Source organism: Homo sapiens, chromosome 7, assembly GCF_000001405.40.
Source record: "Homo sapiens chromosome 7, GRCh38.p14 Primary Assembly".
Classification (NCBI taxonomy): Eukaryota; Metazoa; Chordata; class Mammalia; order Primates; family Hominidae; genus Homo; species Homo sapiens.
In genome coordinates, this window is record NC_000007.14 from 34663707 (window position 1) to 34684902 (window position 21196).

The 21196-nt window shown below is 39.7% G+C and overlaps 1 protein-coding gene and 1 long non-coding RNA gene across 7 annotated transcripts in view; one reads left to right on the plus strand and one right to left on the minus strand.

The window, feature by feature from the left end:
* Nucleotides 1-21196, minus strand: part of NPSR1-AS1 (NPSR1 antisense RNA 1) — a 487820-nt gene that overhangs the window by 317195 nt on the left and 149429 nt on the right. The window lies entirely within an intron of this gene.
* NPSR1 (neuropeptide S receptor 1) overlaps nucleotides 1-21196 on the plus strand; it is a 220115-nt gene that overhangs the window by 5489 nt on the left and 193430 nt on the right. For all 5 annotated transcript variants that reach the window (NM_207173.2, NM_001300933.2, NM_001300935.2 and 2 more), the window contains exon 2: nucleotides 20846-20978. In NM_207173.2, coding sequence (NP_997056.1) covers nucleotides 20846-20978 — 133 coding nt within the window. The remainder of the gene's footprint in view (nucleotides 1-20845; nucleotides 20979-21196) is intronic.

The following is a 21196-nucleotide window of genomic DNA, read 5'->3' on the forward strand; positions in this document are numbered from 1 at the left end:
AGCGACCCCCCTGTCATGGGGAAATTGATGACACAGTGTTCTTCCGAATTTATTATTCCAGGCTCTCTGTTCTGAATGCTCAAAAGTCACACCCTCTTGCAACAGAAAAAACCCATTTCTCTTCCAGCTGTTTAAGATATCCTCACTGAGGTATTTTGAAAGCCCAGTGCTGACTTGTTTCTGTCCATCTGCATTGATAAAGAGTGCAGTCTGAGGACAGTGGGGCTGCCTGGGCTGGTGGACAGTGTATCAAAGAAGTGGAAAGAAGCACATCCATTCATGCTTGACAATGTCATTCTGCCATCCTTCAAATAATTTCCTGTTGATGAAGTAAGAATGTTTCAAGCCATGCACTCAGGTAGATAAGAAATCTAACACTATTTTTCTTAAATAAACTGAGCTTCTCTCTGGACCTCTCAGTCCCCCAAGTAAACTCAGGCTTTTGAGCTTTCTCCATCATTTCAATGAGGCAGTGTGGCTCAGAGAGCAGGCTTTAGAGCCAGACTTCTGGGGTCAAATCCCAGTGCCACACCATCTAGCAGAGTGACTTTGGGCACTTTACTTCCACCGGTGTCTCAGTTTCCTCATCCAACAAACAAAGCTAATAATTGCATGTCCTGTAGAGAGTTGTTGTGAATAGTTAAGTGAGAGAATGCTTGTATAGCCTTAAAGAACAGCAAGCGGCCCCCAGGAGTGTTCATTATTCATAATTAGAGTCCCAGGAATTCGTCATTCCACTCTTTTCTCAAGACAACTACTGAGAGGTGAGGAGGCAGCATTAGCTGTAAGGAAGAAGTTTCGGAAGATGCTGAGAGAGACCACTGCAGGTGGAAGCACTTCAGGACAGCTTCGATATGCAGGTGGTCCTCAAACAATGGTCATGAATTAAGCTGTTTCTTTTCTTTTTTTTAAAAAAAAAAAATGAGACCATGAAAATGTAGAATAAGATATAGATATAGAGGGAAAATTTCCATTTCTTACTTTGTCATCCTGATATTATGTCTAGCTATTATCTAAGCAAACTTAATGGCCCACTACATGAAAGGCTATTTGCAGAAAGAGCAAATTATGCCCTATCTGGAGAAAGAAAGAAATGGCTTCTTCTCTGCTGTGAAGATTTTCCAGGCCACAGATGGCAAAATCACCCAAGGTCATGAGGAAGTTGTAAGGAATAATCAAGTTTCTTGTTTTCCCACTTAGGCAATATTGATGGCTGCCTAAAAATGATAGATCTATTACTCTTGTCAGCACTTTACAGTTTGCAATATGATTTCACAATATCACCTTTGAACCTCCCATCAGCTCTAGGGGGATTTAAAATAGCATTCTTTTTCTTTGAGCAGATATGAAACTAAAGTCTGAGGGAAGTTAAAGGTGTAAACTTCCTAAAAGTTAAGATAAGGTAAAAATAAAATAAGAAAGAAAAGAAAGAGAATTCTGAGCTGATTTTGGTCTGGATAGGTTAAGCTCTCCAACAGTAAAAAACAAACCCTAAATCTCCGTGATTTAACACACCAGAGGTTTATTGTTCCCTCATATCACAGTAGCAAACAGGTCAACTTGTAGCTACACCTTCTAGAACAAGTGGCTTCCAGGGGTGATGGTAAATTTTCTCTTGCTGTCTTTGGCCTGAAATGACACATGACTTTGACTGAATTCCATTGGCAAGAATTAATTACCTCAATAGGCAACAGAAACGCCCCCAGGGTCGAGGGTATAATGCATGGCTTTAAAGATTTGATCCTTACCTTCTGGCAGATAAAACCCAAATCCTTGGGCCTGGCCTACTGGCCTTTCACATTCTGACCCAATCACCTTCTCTACTCCTCTCTTCACATCCTGGACCACGTTGTACTGACTGTCTTACCATAGTCTGAGGATACAGGGTCCTGTTTACCTTTTCTGGATATGCCTTTCTCACACCTTTTTCTTCTGATATCACGCTAACCTCAATTGCCTTCTCTTCTAGGAAGGCTTCAGAATTGTTCAGTAGTCCAGCATCATCACATCACTACCCTTCTGCTCCTAAAGCACTTAGAATCTCTGTGCAATATGGTTCCTCTCTTGACATGCATGTTCACCTACATACACACACACACACGCATACACACACACCCATGAGCACATACACATGGACACATACAAATACACAGTGACAGACACACATGCCCACACACACACAGACTAGATGTCAGTTATTTAGGGACACCTTTAGATCCTACTATTCCTAGTACAGTGACTGACACACAGCAGATAAAAGGTCAGTAAATATTTTGTTGAGTGAAAGAGTATATCAAGAAATAATCTGTAAAACAAGTTTACTGCTAATATCTCAATAAGCTCATGTGAATGAATTTGGGTAGATAAAGTCTTAATCCTTATTCACCAACCATTTGGCTTGAATTTATAGGTGTCATAATTTGGGAGGGATTCGTGACATCACAGTAAGCCATGTTCTATATTATTTAGTAATGATGAGGAATAATGATGATGCTATCGGATTTTGGGAAAAATCCGTAGGATTGGTGAGTAGAGGCACTACACAAGCCTGGAAAAGGGAAAGGAAAAGAGAACAGGTTTCTGTAACCCAGGATGACATTTGGTTGAAACAATACTTAGTTTCAACCTCCTCCTCACTTTCCCAGCTAAGTACTCACTCTCCTAGTCTCCCTTGCAGTTAAAGGTAGCACAGTTTGGGAAGCTTAATTGGAAGTCTCTGAGATTTCTAATAAAGATTTTTCCTTTTCTGATGAAAGCGGAAAGATATTGCTGGCATTCTGATGTCCCCCTGACTTGAATTCAGACATAATGCATGGAGCCGCAGCAGCCATTTTGTGACCACAGGAAAAAAAAGCCAAGGGAATCTTAGCAAATTGAGTTCAGCAGCAACATATCTTCAGATTTCTTATTATATGAAAAAAAATAAATCTTTGTTTAAGCCACTGCTAAGCTGAATACTTTCCTAATTGATATAAATACTAAGTGTAATACGACATTGACAGTATTGAAGCCAAGATCTTAAAACATGGCCCCCAGAGAGTCAAGCAGACATTGCATTATTACACATTTGGAGGGTACAGAGGCTGGATCTGCCCATGGTTTTTGTCTTGTTATTATCTACATTACAAAGAGATTGAATAGATTCTTATAAAAACTGATTCAGACTAGATTGTATGGTTTTGAGTAACCAAGAAAGTAAAAGTTTCTCCCCCTCCTCAAAGAAAAGGGCCTTACATTTTTCAAATGATTCTCTACATTCCAGATAATAACAATGCCATTCACTTATGTAATTTTATGAAAAAATACTAAAACCATTCTGAAAACATCAGCTCAAAAAACTACCCAAAACATTTGCTCATTTTTTCATGATGGCTCAATAAGAAGATTTTTTTATTCTCCTCCAAAAAGCATAAGGAATCACATCCTTTCCTGACAGCTTAAAACATCCAAGCAAAATGTGAGCTGGAGCCATGGGCTCTGGACCTGGCAGGCAGGTGTGGACCTTCAGCACACCACAGGGCTGCTCTAGCCCCAGGCATTTCTGCCCTGGGTACAGAACAATAACCACCATCCCTGCCTGGATGGTGAAGTAGGAATGGAGCCAGTTCTCATGTGGGAGGAAGAGTTTTGAGAGACAGGAGAAAGGGGGGTAGTCATGGAGGAGTTCTGCTTACTAATCTGTGACAATCCTCTCCAAGCCCAGAGAAGGTGGGAGGTAGGGGAGGACCGATGCTCTTCCCCATCAAAGGCCAGCCTCCTAGACTCTCCATTCATCCAGCTTCTTCACCCTCCTGGCCTCTCCACTTTCCCCGCCTTTCCACTTACTCAGATTCTCCACCTTTCCAGACACTCCATCCTCAAAGACTCTCCACCCACCCAGGCTAGTCATGCATTGCTAAAGATAAATAAAAAAGAAACTTCCTGGGACTCTTTCCTCCTTCTAAAGACAGGAGTAGGTGGTTGGAAAGGAATAAGATGCAATCATAACTTTGACAAGACTCACAAGAACCCTCATGAAGATTCCCTGCCCTCTCACAAGCCTCTCTTTTCCCAGCCTTAACTGCTTGCCCTCATCCTTACCAGGGCATTCAGCTTGGACTTTGCACGCTCAGTTTTTAAAAAACAGTTCTGTCTCCCCCTTTCTCACCATCCCTCTTTTATCTCATCAGAACTTCTTTCTTCAATAAACTGATTCCAAGTATTAGCAAAAAAAACCATTCTAAGTAAAAGAGTTCTGAGTTCCATCCCTCAAGTGTCTCTTCTTATAACCCCCCTAACATATGTTAGGGGGGTTAATATTAATGTAAAATAAACTCTTACTCCTCATGCCCTCTGGACAGAGTCTAAAGGATTCTTGGAGTTCCTTAAAGAAGCCAAAACTCTTTTGCTGGGCTACAGCCACGATTCACCCAGGCCTCTGAATCAGACCCAAGATATCCCCACAGCACTCAGAATTCCATTCACATAAAGATATTGAACGAAGGTGTTCACACAAGGAGCATTATTCACAAGTCATAATTTAATAAAAAATGTCAGGGAATATTGTGAGTGCTCAAATGCAGGTTTCTCATCTTTCACGTATTATTGTAGACTCTAACCCTTAGCAACACAGAGCAACCCATGCAGATAGAAGATATTCTTTTGGCTAAGAATACATTTATTCCTTTTCCAATGTATTTAGTCCCTTTTCAGGATTTTTGGTCTAGGTTAAGATTAAAATGCAAAGAGTATTCAAGAACACAGAAACTATCAGCCTAAAATAAAACTTAGAATAATGTAATGAATGCAATTCTATCAGGCCACTCAGTCTTTTCTATTGATCATTTCATTCATCAATCAGGTTAAGCAAGCTTATGCTGAGGAAACAAATAACTGGATATTCTCAGTGGGTTAAAATCATAATATTTTAATGTTTGTTTCCTACTCATGTCCCATGTCCATCACAGGTTAACAGGGTGACTCCGTGTATTGTAATCTCTCAGGGAACCAGTTGATGGAAGCCCCATGTCAACAAAGGCTTCCATAATACTGAAGTCAGAAGAGCAAGAGCTAGAGAGATACAGAGTAACGAACCTTGCCCTGGCTCTCATAAGCTTCTGCCCAGAAATAACACATATGACTTCCACTCACTATTCATTGGCCAAAGTAAGTTCATGGTCACGTCTGGTATCAGTGGAGCAGAGAAATGTAATCCTCCTGCTCGGAAAGGCAGGGAATCTTGGTGCTCGGTAATGTCTAATGCAACTCCTAAAGCTCTGAGACAGGCATTATCCTCTTTGATTTAGAGAGAAGAAAAGTGAGGCTCTGAGAAGATAAGTTCACATAATAGTTAATAATCCAAAAACTTTTACCCAGATATTGGTTAAAATTATAACCCAGATAAGGCGCATGCTCTTTCCACCATATCAGAACTTCCCAAAAGTTGTTCCACAGAACTCTAATTATGAGAGTTCTTAAGCAGTTGTCAGGGGAATATGAAATAAAGAATTTTGGAAGCACCACATATTATACACCATTATATACTTAGAGGATGCATTCACCATTTAACTCTCTGAGAAGTCTTACAGTAAGGAAACTTGTTTATGGTGGCTCACGCCTGTAATCCCAGCACTTTGGGAGATCAAAGCGGGTGGATCATTTGAGGTCAGGAGTTTGAGACCAGCCTGGCCAACATGATAAAACCCCATCTCTACTAAAAATACAAAAATTAGCCAGGCGTGGTGGCAGGTGCCTGCAGTCCCAGCCACTCAGGAGGCTGAGGCTGAGGCAGGAGAATTGCTTGATCCCGGGAGGCAGAGGATGCAGTGAGCCAAGATCACACCATTACACTCCAGCCTGGGCGACAGAGCGAGACTCTGTTTCAAAAAAAAAAAAAGAAAGAAAGAAAAGAAACTTGTTTAATTCTTTAATATGCATTTTCCAAGTCTATTTGACCACAGAGCATTACAATATTACCTCTAATAATGACCACTGGCACACACTTCAGAAAACACTCTGTTATGTGTTTTCCTGAAAGAGCCTACCAGACAACCAAACAGAACTAGCTCTTTGAGCAGATGAGGCCCAGAGAAGTAAAGTGACCTTCCCAAGGTTACATAGCTGGTAGATGGTAGAGTCAGGACAAGAACTGCAATCTCTAACTATCCAAGTTGGAGCTTCTGCTCAGCTGTCGAGAGGATCGTGAAAAAACGAGAGTGTTTTATAAACTGGAAAGCGCTATTCGAATTTAAGATAGCATTAATTCTCTAGGTGAAGCATTACTGAAATATATAGAATACATGGAAGGACATGAGGTGCTTCAAGATAGGATGATTAAATTTGGTGAAGATGTCAATTCTCCCCAAATTAGCATATAATGTTTGAAATAATTTTAATCAAAACTTCAATGTGATTGTTTTAAATTGATTAAATAATTTGAAATTTTTATTTAAAAAATAGGTGAGAAAAGCTCAGAAATTTGAACACAAACAACTATGGGGAAGAAAGATGTTTCCCTATTAGTTATTAATAAATGTATATCCACAGTAAGCAAAACATTACAGAACTAGCAAAATAATTGACAGATGGATCAATAATAAGAAATATTTTGCACTGAAAATAAAGTCCTGGTACATATATGAACTTAATGTTACAAAGAAACTACCACAGTTAGTAAAAAAGGAACTAGTATTTTTGCAACAAAAGTAGTGGGTGAATAATGGTTCTTATATAAAGTTGTAAATCTCAGCTAGATTGCGGAACTAAATTTTTACAAAATAGCTAGAAAAATTATATAATGATGACACTAATTTCAGGACTAGCAAGCATTATTCAAGCCTAAAAACAAAAATTTAAAGGGAAACAACAAACTAAGAAAATTATTTGCAATAAAAATAAATATATAATATTATAGCTAATAGTATATACATTAATTATATAAAAATATAACATGGTTAAAGTCCTTAATATGTAAAGAGCCCTTGAGGGAAAATAAATAATATTTCTAATGGAAAAGTGGGCATGGGAAATAAAAACAATTTTAGATTAAATACAGAGTTAAAAGAATGTGTGAAAAAATATTGTTTATTAGTGGTCTGAACAATACAAACTCAATAATTCACCATAATATGAGATATATCAAATAAAGATCAAAGCAAAATAATATATAAAGCACAGAACAGTTCTGTAAAACTGTTTGTGGGAGAGTAAATCAGAACAACTTAACCCAATTTTTCTGGAGAACAATTTAGTAATATACAGCAAACTTAAATGATGTATTCAGGCACTGCTTAGTAATTCTACTTGTAGGATTATACCATAAGTATACTAAAGAAACATTCAAAGACAGAAACAAAGACTGCATTAAGTTGTTTTATTAAAAAGTAAGTTTCTAGCAATGGAATAATAAAATTGTGATATAACCATAGAATGGAATATTAAGGAATATTATGCAACTATAATAACCATTTCTCTTTGTGCAATGTTAAAGGTTTTTAAAAGCACAATAAATATAATATATTTCAAGTTTTATATACACTCATAAAATATAGAAGAAACAAATACCAAGATGGAAAAGTAAGAAATTCTCTCTGAAAGTTACTTTGCAGATGGTTTTTATTTTATCTTTGTGTAAAAGCTTACTGTATTTTCTAGAGTGAGCACATATTATATTTATTATTCTAAACGACAAAATAACCATGTAAGATACACCATGCCACCTCTCAAATAAATTGTGTGCATTGTATTTCCATGACAGTAAATAGGAAGAATCTATTTACTCTGCAGAAGCCCAGAAATGAACCCAAGCAAGCGAGGCTTGCATGACCCAGAGAGCACATTAAAGGATCCAGAAATGCAGGCAAGGGAACAAGACAGCCAATGAAAACCAAGGCAGATGACTGGCTGTATGAATTGAGTGCACACCAACTCATTAGCCTTTTACATTTTGCTACCCAACCACCCAACTTAGATGCACAGAAAACAAAGCTTGCAAGAGTAGCAATTCCAGACTCTGTAGCAGGAATCCTTCTGCTGAGCCTCTCTCATGCCCCCTCCCCTACTGTTCTCATCTCCCAGGATGTTCAAATCCATTCCCTGGTCCTTACATCTGCTTCTGCCCATGCATGTGTTCGCTCCTCCTGGTTTCTTTTGGCTACTTGATTTTGAGTCTCCCGGATGGATTTTAAATACCAGGTCCAAGCCAAAGTGGGCCCTCCAGGGGAAAGTTTCTCAGACACTTTCCCTTTTTATTAGCACCTCCAGAACAGAAAACAAATTCCTGAAGGTTTATTATTTTAATTACGTGGATCATCAGGAATAATACATTCTGGGTATTTTTATTATATAGTAATTACTTTGGTTCCTACGACATTGTAGAGATTTGGACTTAATTTGCTCAAATGTTAGTTTTCCATATTTCAAGAGTCTAGTGCTTAAATAGCAATTTAAATGTTAATCTCAGTTCTTGTTATGTAGCTGACATTTCATTCGTTTATTCAGCAAATATTAATTACTACATAGACTTGAAGCCCAGTGGGTTTCCAAATGATTTCTAACATCTGTGGTTTGCTATATTATGGGAATTCAGATGGAATCTCAGAATTTAATTGTTTCAAAGCTTTCAATACATGCTATTAGTGGTTAATTTGGAAGTCCTCTTGCGATCCAAGAACAAATTGCAAGAAGAGATTCACGTTAAAATGATTGCAGAACATTGGCATTTCTGTTTCTGGTGAAATTCAAGGATTCACCAGTAACCAGAAAACTGAATTCGAAAGTAACGCAAGTGCAGTCCCACATGCCAAGCCCTGATCGAAATGAGAACGTTTAGGATGTGGGAGATTAACATTGTTAATAAAGCATGATCTACGGCCCATGGTACTGATGATAAAAACTCCAAACCAATGACTATGTCTTTCTGGTCAGAGTAGAAATGACTAATGCAGTTATTCAACATGTCCTGGAGACTAAACTAAGAAATCAATGTCAGGCAGTAATCCAGAGTCCACTGAATCACTTTCCTGTACAGTCCCAGTCTGAAGGTGCTAGTATTACATTCTGTCACTTGTAATCATGGTGTTGAGAGGTAAGGCAAAGGCAATTCAGGTGAAGACAACTGAGGAAGATCGCAGATGGACAAGAATCTCTCCTCCTGACAGCAGATTCTTCTAACTCCGGACAATGACACAGGCCCTGGACCTTGTCCCATTATTGAAATAATTGGCTTTCAGACCGAGCTCCAGCTTGCTCATTGTAAACCTTTCTCTGCTGTTACTACCTCAAAAGTGCCTGAATGGCCACTATCTGTCCTCACTAACCTGCAGTTCTCACTCTCTGCCTTCACTTACGCTGTTGCCAGGCACCCTACTTCTTAGCTTGGCTACTTCTACTCATTGTTTCAGACTCAGCTCACATAACAGTCTCTCTAGGCTATACCTGCTGACCAACCATGACCAGCTCCTCCCCAGGTTCTATTACATGTTCCTTATTTGGGTTTCTACAACATCTTTATCATAGAAGTTCACATTGAAAATTCTGGTTGACGTACCTGCCTCCACCATCAGACTATAAGCTCCTTGTCTTCGCCTCCCTTTTATCCCCAAAGTATGTTGAACTTTGATACTAGATTCTCAGAAATGTTTATGGAATTTGATTGTACAGATTACAAACCAGTATAATCATGTCTCCAGCTCCATGATTTTCAGGAGAGTTTCCCACTTCCGGCCTGAGTGTCATTTCTACACCAACATGTAAGCCAAGGCTCTCTCCTCTGGATAAATGCCTTTCCCTCTGCCATACTACATGGGAGTTCACAGAATGACTCTCAGTTCACAACTACTTGGAACAATCGTGGTCCACAGCCCCACTCTCCAATTCAACAGGCCTAGGCTTCAACTGCACCTCCCATCCCATTCACATTCCCTATTCTTCATGAAGAAGGCCTCTGTCAGCTTGTCTTGCCAGTCTCCAGACAAGTCTAGAGGCATTGCAGAGGGTGTAATCTCTCTCCATCCCTGTTCTAGACCCTTGTTAAAGTGATATGAGAAGCCTTACAAAGGTATTAAAACTTGAGCTAACAACCACATTTATATGTAGCTGTATACAGATTTCTTACTTTTTTGTGAATATTTAAAAAATTTTATCATACATATTTTCATAATTGAGTGTTGTAACTGATGACAATCCTGGGTAATCCAGGATAGAATCCCCATAGTTCATGGTAAAGCAGTTAGAAAACGTAAATGCCAACAGGAGGTCGTGATGACAATAATTCAACTGTATTTGCAAGCAGGCCTCCCAGTTGGGTTACTCAGGGGTTGATAGCAGGGGAGTGGAGGAGAGACAGATTTTAAAAAGGGGCATCATCGGAAGGAGATGGCTGTCAGGGAGAAAAATGGCAGGCCCTCCTGAACTAGCCCAGTCCTAGCTTCAGGCCTCCTTGTTGACCTTGACTGGTTATTGACCACCTGGCATTGCTTCTGTAGCAGCAGGTAGGGTGAGATGTGGGAAGAAGTTGGGATGACCTCCTGAATGACAGATTACCAACTGTCCAGCTACTGCCCAGGGGTCACCACATCCTCACATTGTGTCTCATTCTCCAAGTCTAATTAAGCAGCTTCAGGAACACAGAACTTTGCTATCTGCTCCTACCTGTTTCACTTAAAATCAGGTGCCCATGTATGTCTCTGTGTTACACTGTGACTGATCCCTAATAAAATTAGAGATTTTCAATCTTTGCACTTGATATTGCCAACTCACCTAAGCAAATTAATGAGGCTTTGAGTAGGCCTCAGAGCCTGGTGCTGTGAATGATGGAAGCCACACAAGTCTCAGGGACAGGGCAGTAGAATTTCATTGTCTTCTCACTGAGAAGTGACACCAAATCATTGAAACCTTTTTTCTTATACTTTATTTCCTGTATTGGAAAATGGCAGATATTTGCTCCTTCCTGTGTTAGAGATATTCATCTTCAACATCACATACATAACAACCTTCCTAAAACAAACCCTGAAAACATGAGGGGCACGGAAAGCTTTGTGACTCCCAGGACAGCTGATGTAGCTGCATCTTGTGTGACATTTATCACTACTGTTGTGTGGAGGCCACATGTTGCCATAGAGTCCCTCCATTCCTCCAATGCATGGACCTTATGCTCAGTCCTGAGGGAGACAGTCATGAATCCAACCCAGCCCCAGAAACCCAGCTTCAGGCAAGTTTTGGCTCAGAAAGAAAATGAAGATTTGTCTCCCCCTTGAAAATTGAAAGTAAATGAGGCAACTTTCACTATCTTAAACCAAAATTGGGGCAGAAAACTACTAGAGTAAGCAGGGCATGGTCTTTCCAGTTAAGCAAAACTACATGCAAATCCCAGCTGCATCACCTAATGAGCCAGTAACCCAGGTAAGTAACTTCTCTGAGCTTCATTTCCTTACCTATAAGATTGAGGACAGTGATAACTCGTTGGTCAGGTTGTTATGGTTAAGTGAGCAATATGTAAGCCTTCTTAAATGATGCTTGGCACATGGCAATCAATCAAAAATATTTATTGTGCACCTACTACATACATTACAAACTCAGTAAGCCATGTACTGGATTAATGTGATTCACTCAAATTATTTCATTCCCTTTCACCCTATAATTGTTAAAGATACTTAGGCTTTTTGTCTTCCAGTTTTCAGCACCTAACTGAAAAAGGAGATCACTATTCCTTGGATCTGGATAAATCCAGACTAGCCTGACAGATCCAGAATCAACTAGAGTAACTAATGTCTTGTATTTCCTGAGATAATTCCCATTTCAAATGACCTTTTCTGTGATTCTTGTAAGTAGCTTTGCACTTGTCATCAACCAAGTTTCCATCTGACAGAGATTTATTAAGCACCTTCTACGGGCCAGACAGATGCCAGGGGTGGAGTTGTGACCCAGGCTTAGTGCCTGCCAGCATGGGCATCCTTTTGGCTCTGGAAGCATGGCTCATGGAGCCACATCCCAGCTATCAGCCCTGTGGCAGCATCACCATCATCAAAGGAACCCTGCAATTCATCTTTCTAAATCCCAATTTGCAATTCTCTAAGTCTGCAGAAAACTGATGTCACTGTGTAGCCTGACTAACTTGAGGTGAAAAGCCAATCAGTCATGTGCCAGCAACCATGTAATTGAGCTGAGAACAGGCCAATCTTTAGTTATTGAAACATTTTAAATACATTTCTTATTTCCACTCAGTATTGGACCATCTGGCTGGAATTTTGCCTCACATCACCACTAGGGGGCATTTTATGCCCAACTATATTCTGCAATAGTTTGGGGGTTGTGTTGGGACACCATCAGCACAGTGTGGTGGGGGGTGGGTAGGGAGAATGCTTCTTAGGCTTAGTGAAATTCCGATAGACTGGTACCGAAAATAGGGTGAACAGGGTGAATTCAAGCATCACTCTGAAAAGGCAGTGAGTTAGTTATCACCCCTCAAATGTACATATGTAGTCCACAAACCTAAGGGAGGAGATAAACCAATTTTTATTGCATATCTACTATGTAACAGGCACTGAGCTAAAAATCTCCATCTTCATCATCTTATCTACCCATCACAACTATCCTGAGATAGGTTTTGTCTTCATCCTCATTTTACAAATAAGAGGTCAGAGAGGTTATCACTTACAACCTATCACACATCCAGCAAGTAGCAAAAACTGAGTCCAGGTCAGGTTGCTTTCAAAGCCTATCAACTTTTCGTCCACGAGGCTCACCTAGTTGTGATATTCTCACTCCTCTGAAATTGTTTCCTCAGTCCCCATTACCATGACTCTCCAGATTATCCTGGGATTTGTGTGTGTCTCTGTGTGCCTGTGGGTGGGGAGGGGGACATGCACGCATAATACGGCTGCGAATAAAGGAGCAAGCAGCTGAGTGTTTTCATACTTAATGACCCTTGTACTAGTCAGTGAAACAGGATTTAAATTTGACTGAGTATAACTTACACACTCTACCTGTTTTATTCTCTTGTAGCACCAACGCCTTACACTGTGTCTGGCATAGAGTAGGAAATTAATAGATGTTAGATGAATTCATAAACAGATAAATCAACATGGCTCTTAGGAAGACCCCAAAAGCATTTGCCCGGGGAGGCTTCCTATGTCTGGAAGTGTTCTGAAGCCTATGAAGTAAGGTGAGATTATCTTCCAACAGAAAACTCCAAAAGATGTGGAGGTGGGGAGGGTTTGATTTATAGGATTTGCTCAGCCTGCCCTAGAGACATCAGCCAATCAAAGGAAAATAGACTCCAACCTGTTTACAGAGCTCCTCGGACTTACCATCCCAAAGCATAGTCCAAGAACAAAAGCCCAGTCCAAGGGATCACTGACTCACCAGCCCCTGGGAATGATTTCCAATTCACTGATACATCAAACCAGGGTGATTTGATATGCAGTGTTTGTCACTCTGAACTTCCAACAATGCAGATCTGAGCCCCGGGACTACTTTGAAAAGACTGGATCCCTTGGCTCGGATTGTACTCTACAAAGATGAAGAAGGCAGCCATTTTCTGCCCACTGGGGACCAGAAGCCTCTTCCATTAGGCAGAAACTTCATTTCTGGAAATGTGAACTTTGCTGCCAGAGTCATCAATGCCGACGCTCTATGTGAAAAGCAGACCATTTACTCACTTCAGCATTGATTTTCTGGAAACATGGCCTGCCTGTATTTATATGAGGAAAGGAGAACATGAAAGAGAGATATAGTCTGAAAATGTAACGTTGACTTCCAATGCAAAACTACCCTGAGTTCACTGATTTTATTCTCTTCCTCTTTCCAATTCTCATCCAAAAGGCTATCAGAATGTAATTTCAGTTGAAAAGGCTTCCATATCAGAAGTAGAAAATAGGGAAGGTCGATGACTTCCCTATTCCCTTCCACCTGCTGGAAAACTGGAGGAATGCCCACAAGGTGTAGAGTAGGTAAGACATTCTGAGGGAGGGGCCAACAGATTCGTCTGCTCTCTGACAGGAAGTAAAGGCCTTCCTGGGGAGGTCAGTAGAGAAGAGACCAGCCCCAGGGGATTCCACTCCTCAGAGTCCATCCACTGAGGCTGGGGCCATCTCCAGTGAGCAAATTTCTGTGGGAGGTTTACTGAATGCTGCAGACCTCACAAAAAAGGATTTTGGCCAGTGCCTTCTCCCAGCTAAAGGAGTGTGGACAGCTGGCTAAGTAAAACTTGGGCGAGGCCATGGATGGTGCCAGTGAAGACAGAGCCTCAGTAAGGAAAACAGTCCTGTATCTACTATCTTCCTCACATTCCACCCTTGCCTCCTTCTTTGGCTGCTCCCAGACATTGTTCTCACCTCTCCCACCATGGAGACGTGGATTTCTGATCTGGCAAAGAAACATCACAAGTGCTTTAACTTTTCTCTTCCTTCTTCATCCAAGAATGAAAGTTCAACAGAGACCAATACAGTTCTGGACAAGTGCAAGAAATAAACCATCCCCCAGCACCATCCAGGCTCAGAAAAAATGCTGGATATGATACAAGGCTTTGCAATTCTTTTTTTTTTTTTTTTTTTTTTTTGACAGAGTCTCATTCTATCTCCAGGCTGGAGTGCAGTGGCGCCATCTCAGCTCACTGCAACCTCCGCCTCCCGGGTTCAAGCGATTCTCCTGGCTCAGCCTCCCGAGTAGCTGGGACTACAAGCACGCACCACCACGACCAGCTAATTGCAATTTTTAAAGAAGAAATTGCTTTAAGGCATTAACATGCTTCTCTTTATGAAACAGATCCCCTAAAAGAAACAGGAGTAAATCTTGGAAAATCTCTTACTTGTATTCTCAGCAGAGCTTGAAAGGACATTGCATTAAGAAAAGGGACACAGTGGCCGGGCGCGGTGGCTCACATCTGTAATCTCAGCACTTTGGGAGGCCCAGGAGGGTGGATCATGAGGTCAGGAGATCGAGACCATCTTGGCTAACACAGTGAAACCCCGTCTCTACTAAAAATACAAAAAATTAGCTGGGCATGGTGGTGGTTGCCTGCAGTCCCATCTACTCGGGAGGCTGAGGCAGGAGAATGGCGTGAACCCGGCAGGCGGAGCTTGCAGTGAGCCGAGATTGCGCCACTGCACTCCAGCCTGGGTGACAGAACTAGACTCTGTCTCAAAAAAAAGAAAAAAGAAAAAAAAAAGAAATTCTTATAAACTTCACTGTAAACAATGGAAAGCAGAATATGATCTCCCGAAAAGAGAAGTATGTTATACTAGAATATGCTAATAATCTAAATTTTAAAATCACAGATTATTTTAACAGAACCTGGGGTTGGGGAAATAAAATAGTTTTAAAGCCTCTTAATTAATTTTATTTCTCAGTGTGAAGTCAAATTTGAATGATTTTTAATGGTTACTTAAAAATTAAGCATTCAATGTCTTAAATTTTTTAAAGTTAACATGCGATAAAAGAGAATAACTGTTTCAAATTACTAGTGAACAAATTAAAATAAAAACACAAATGACAAAGAAAATATTTTTAAAGTACAAAAACAAACTTTAAAAACCTTGTAAGATCTTACATATCAGTTACACAATAAATTACAATGAATCAGTGTCATTATTAAAAATAGACTGTCAGTTTAAGTCAAAAACAAAAATTATATTCTACTTACAGGAGAAATACTTGGTAGCAAATGAAACAACATAGTTAGAAATATATAGATAAACAAAGATATACCATTAAAATAGAAATATGATTCAATCAAGTATGGCAAAATTAATATTAGGAAATAGTTCAAGGCAAAAAGAGTTATGAAAGAAAAGAACAGTAAGCCCTCACTTATCATCCGAGTGTTTTGATAAGTTCTCGGAAACTGTGACTTTAAGCGAAACTACATATAATAAAACCAGTGATTTTTCTTTTTCTTATCAATGGCATAATGTTGAAGGAAATGATGTTATTCTGGGCCTGCTAGTTCGTTTCACTTAAAGTCACAGTTTCCAAGAACCTATTGATGATGATAAGTGAGGACTTACTGTAAGTTATGTAATTGAAGATGAAATAGACATAAAATCACAAGCCAAATAAAAATATTTCATTAAAATGTGTAAACAAAAATTATTAGTAATAAAAGGTAAACTTTAAAATTAGTATAGAAATCATTTAAATAATAATATGCAACAGTTTTATTTATAAGTATAAACTGAAATGGTGCTACTACTAGTTAGAAATAAACTAATCCTAATACTAAATACAAAATGTTAAAATTGATCACAAATGAGATAAAAAATATCAAAAATTGATCTTATCTAGATAATTCATCAACAGTATAAAAATAATTGCAGAAATGTTATGTAAAGAATTGCATAGCAAATATTTACAAAGCTCACATGATATGACCATAATAGATAAACCACCAGAGAAAACCTTATTGATTTTATGCATAACAAGAATGCCTTCTATCATATTATAACCTCATCATTGTTCTGAAACTTCTAACCAATGCAAAAAAATGGGAAATATAAATAATCTTTGAAAGTCGGAAAGAAAATTATTTGCCATTGATATGATAATCTCCACTAAAAATACAAAAGACTTAATGAAATGACAATTAAGATTAGTGAAACAATTTATATCTTGGCTGGCTTCAAAGTACATATATGAAAGTAAGTTATTTTTATATAAACCAACATTACCCAGTTAGAGAAATACAATGGTGTAAATGAAATATGTCATTTAAAATAGAAATTTTAAAATATAAAACACTTAGGAATAAAAAATGTGAAGAAAACTGTAAAGCTACCCAGAACCACTAAAGAGAGCATCATGGCATATCCTAGTCAAGTTTAAGATTTGTTTCTCCCATGTCCCAGCATTTCCATACCTAGAATATGTACTAGAGAAAAAAAGTACGGTACCCTATAGCATTGTTTCTGATAGCTTCAAACTGGAAACCACCCAACTGTCTATCAAATACATGAGATCAATAAATCGCAGCATAGTCACACCATGGAGTACTATATAGGAATAAAAATGAAAAACCTGCAGCTCTTTGCAATCACAAGAACGAATATTGCAATCATAAACCAAAGAGTCAAGACAAAAGAAACACATAGCATAAAACTACTCTATAAAGCTGGAAAACAGGCAGCACTCTTTTTGGATGCATGTATAAGTGGTAACAGTAAATATTAAATAAGTAGAAATCAGGTTAGAGGTAATTTCTAGAAGAGACAGAATAGAGTTTTACATGGGGCACAGGAAGGGCTTTCTGGTGTTGATAAAGGTTTTTTTTTTTTTTAATGATGTTGGTAATAATTATATGGGCTTTTACTCTATGATTACTAAGTAATGTGTATGTATATATATTGTGCACTTTTTATGTTGTATATTTTGTGTCAGGCAGATCGTCTGCATAGTCCTAAACTCTTGATTTCTTCCACTTCTTGACACAATCCTTTGGGACCCTTTCAGCTCTTCATTCTGTAGGCTCAAGTTCTGCCCTGCCTCCATCCCCAGACCAAGTCCCAACCTGAGGGAGAGCTGGGTCTCAATCTTCCCTTTACTAGGATGGGAAATGCCAACATTCTTTTTGGTTACCCATTCCTGGAGGATGGTTCCAGCTGGCAGGGGCCATAGAAGATTGATGCACAGCTGTATTTTCCTGTCATTTTGGGCACAGGGGTGAGGATGGAACTTTGCCCCTTTGACAGTTTTAGCTCCAGTCAACTGCTGTTAACTTTGACCTCAGGACACCCTTCACCCTACATCCATGAACATGTTGCAACATCAGGCAACTACAAGGTAAGTAGAGGTATGCAGGGCCTTGTGGATTCAGTTTCTTCTCCCACGTGGATGAACAGCAGCAGCGGAAGAGATAGATAGCACCTCTTTTCCAGCTGGATAGTGTGCTGAAACACTTCCTCAGCCTCCTAGCAGTGCCAAAGACATGTAGGGTGGCCTTAGCCAGAAAGGTGAGGCCATCCCAGCCTCCAGCATGGGGTTGCGGAAGTAGATATAGGTGACCCACTAGAGCTGTGAACTCCTTTAACTCTAGCGTTGAAGTGCCATATTCAATGAGCACAGTTCTGGAAAGGTCTCCAGGGACCCCATATCACATCATGAACTAACCCAAACCTCTAAATCCCCTAAATCTTTCAAAGCTGAGAGAGAGAGAGAGAGAGTAATTCACCTTTAGGGATTGATATAGACTGGGCTATGATATTTTGAGCCCACTCACTGGGAACCATGGATAGGGTGATTATATAATTGACTATCCAACCAAAGACACTTTTTGAGAGAGAAAGGGCAATTTAAATAATTATCTTGGGACAGCAGTTGACAACTAGGACTATCCTAGGCAAACCAGGTTACATAATTACCCTAGCCATGGACCATACTTTGAGAAGCACTTTCCAAAGGCCTCTGCCATGTGCAGCTGCTCATAGCCAAGCTCATGCTACACAGGTGGAAAAGCTTCTGGAAAATTGGGGTGCTTCCCTAGAAGACTCAGAATGTTAACAAGGAATAGGGAAGAAAGAGAACTACTGAAGAGCTTGGCACAGGAGGGCTGGCCCAGAACCTGTGTCACAGCACTGCCCTGGGCCATTCACACCAAAGCTCATTCCAGAGACTGAAAGTATTTGATGGCCTTCTGTCATACCTTACCTGCCAGGCCACCTGCTTGATGGGCTCTTTCCTGAACCTAGACACCCCCAGGGCACCATCGTCCTCCCTGATAGAATATTATATTAGAACAATTTGAGGAACATAGACACATTATCCCCAACCCTGTCCCTCAACTGTTTCATCTGTCAGCACCATGGTGTCAGTGAGACCTTCTGATGGAGACTTCCAAGCCACCTGGCTGCTTAGGTTAGTCTGCAAGTTGTTCCAGTGTTTTTTAAGAGAGGTCCTCCAAATTCAAATCACTTGTTTATGTCCCACTGCTGGCACACCACCTGAATGGGAAGTGTCAGTCTACGACATCAAAGGCCTCTCCTGCTGTGTCTGCTACTGACAGCACTGTTGTCCATCTATCTCAAATGGGAGAATTCTCTTACAAAAACTCACTCCCTCCACTCAGTACGGTCCTTTGCATAACAATTAGTTTTTATTCTTGATGCTTTATCACCCATTTCAAGACTGCTAGAGAAATGAGTTATGCAGGATATGACCCCTCTAGTCATCAAAGAACCAGAGAAAAAGTGTGTGGCTTGAAGCTGAGCAAAGATGCTGCCTCCAAGTGGGAAGTGACATATGTATGCTGGACACGATATATCTGCAGAGCTCTCCAACCCTGTCATCCTCCCACTCTAGTTGTACAGCCCTCATCCTCCCCCCACATCACCACAATGCCTATCCTCATTTCCACAGTTCTGCAGTTCCAAGGCCCTGACCTCCACCTAGGATCTCAGAAACTGATCTGTAAATCCAGGATGGAGAGCCTAAATATCAGATTGATAAAGTGTAGGACTCATGAAGATGCTCATAAAAAATTTCTTAGAAGGCCAGGTGCGGTGGCTCACACCTATAATCCCAGCACTTTGGGAGGCTGAGGCAGGTGGATCACTAGGTCAGGAGATTGAGACCATCCTGGCTAACACGGTGAAACCCTGTGTCTACTAAAAAATACAAAAAAAAATTCGCCGGGCGTGGTGGTGGGTGCCTGTAGTCCCAGCTACTTGGGAGGCTGAGGCAGGAGAATGGCATGAACCTGGGAGGCAGAGCTTGCAGTGAGCTAAGGTCATGCCACTGCACTCCAGCCTGGGTGACAGAGTGAGACTCTGTCACAAAAAAAAAAAAAATATTTCTTAGAAGGACTGTCAGATTCATAGCATTCTCGCTTTTTTCTTTTTTACTAATTAATCATTTATCTTAATCTGTTTCATGCTGCTATGACAGAATACCCAAGACTGAGTAATTTATAAAGAAAAGTAATTTATTTCTACAGTGCCAGGGTCTGGGAAGGTGCTGGTATCTGGTGAGGGCTTTCTTGCTGCATCATTCCATGGCAGAAAGTGAGAGGGTGAGAGAGGGACAAGGGAGGGGAACTGAACTCATTCCTTTATCAGTAACCCACTCCTGCAATAACTAATCCACTCCCACAATAACAACATTAATCTATTCATGAGGGCACAGCCTTCATGACCTAGTCACTTCTTAAAGGTTCTACCTTAACTCCATTGCTTTGGGGATTAAATTTCAACATATAAACCCTTGGAGGACACATTCAAACCACAGAAACATTCTTCAGTAGAACTTTAATATTACTGTCTTATAAAATTCTGTCAAATGAACAAAAGATAACCCATAATTACACCCTAATATGACTGCTTTTAACATTTTACTGTATTTCAGCCTTTTTGCTATGTATATAATTTTACAGAGTTGTAATCATACCCAGTATATGATTTTATCATGTTTTCCCACTTACCATTATAGGTATTTTTAATATTGCTACATAGTCTTCATGGTTGTCATTGTTAATAGCTATGCTGTAATAGTTCACTGAATTGAAGTGCTTTATTTACTTAGCTACCCTATTATCTTTAAACAATTTCTAATTTCTTTTTATAATAAACATGGACATATTTCTGACAGGGGTGTTCTTTTTCACATCTTGACCTACTTTTCACATAGTGTTACAATTACCTGACCAAAGAATACAAACTTTTTGTCTCTTGACGTATATTTCCAAAAGATTTTTAAAAGGTGCATTAATTTACTCTGCAGCTGGTGTAAATGAAGACCATTTTGTCATTGTTTTCTTGAGAGTAGAGCTTCCAAAAGTAGGGATATGTGGCTAGGAGGAAGAAATCCAGCCTGGGGCAGGCATTCTGTAAAGAACTCCAGTTCTCACTGGTACACTGGTTTTATTTTTCTCTGTTTCTTGCAGACTGAGCAATTGATAACTCTGTGGGTCCTCTTTGTTTTTACCATTGTTGGAAACTCCGTTGTGCTTTTTTCCACATGGAGGAGAAAGAAGAAGTCAAGAATGACCTTCTTTGTGACTCAGCTGGCCATCACAGGTAAGTAACTATGCAAGTGAGAGGCAGGAAGCTATATGTGAAGTCCCTATGGCTTCCTGCTTTTAATGAATTTTATCAAAAAAAAAAAAATGTAACGCATCGGTCAATTTGGGAATAATTTCTGAAAGAATATAAAACCTATATTTGAATATTTCCTCTGGCATACTTAACACATATGAATGCCTCTAAGATTTCATTATAAAAGTAACTCACTACAC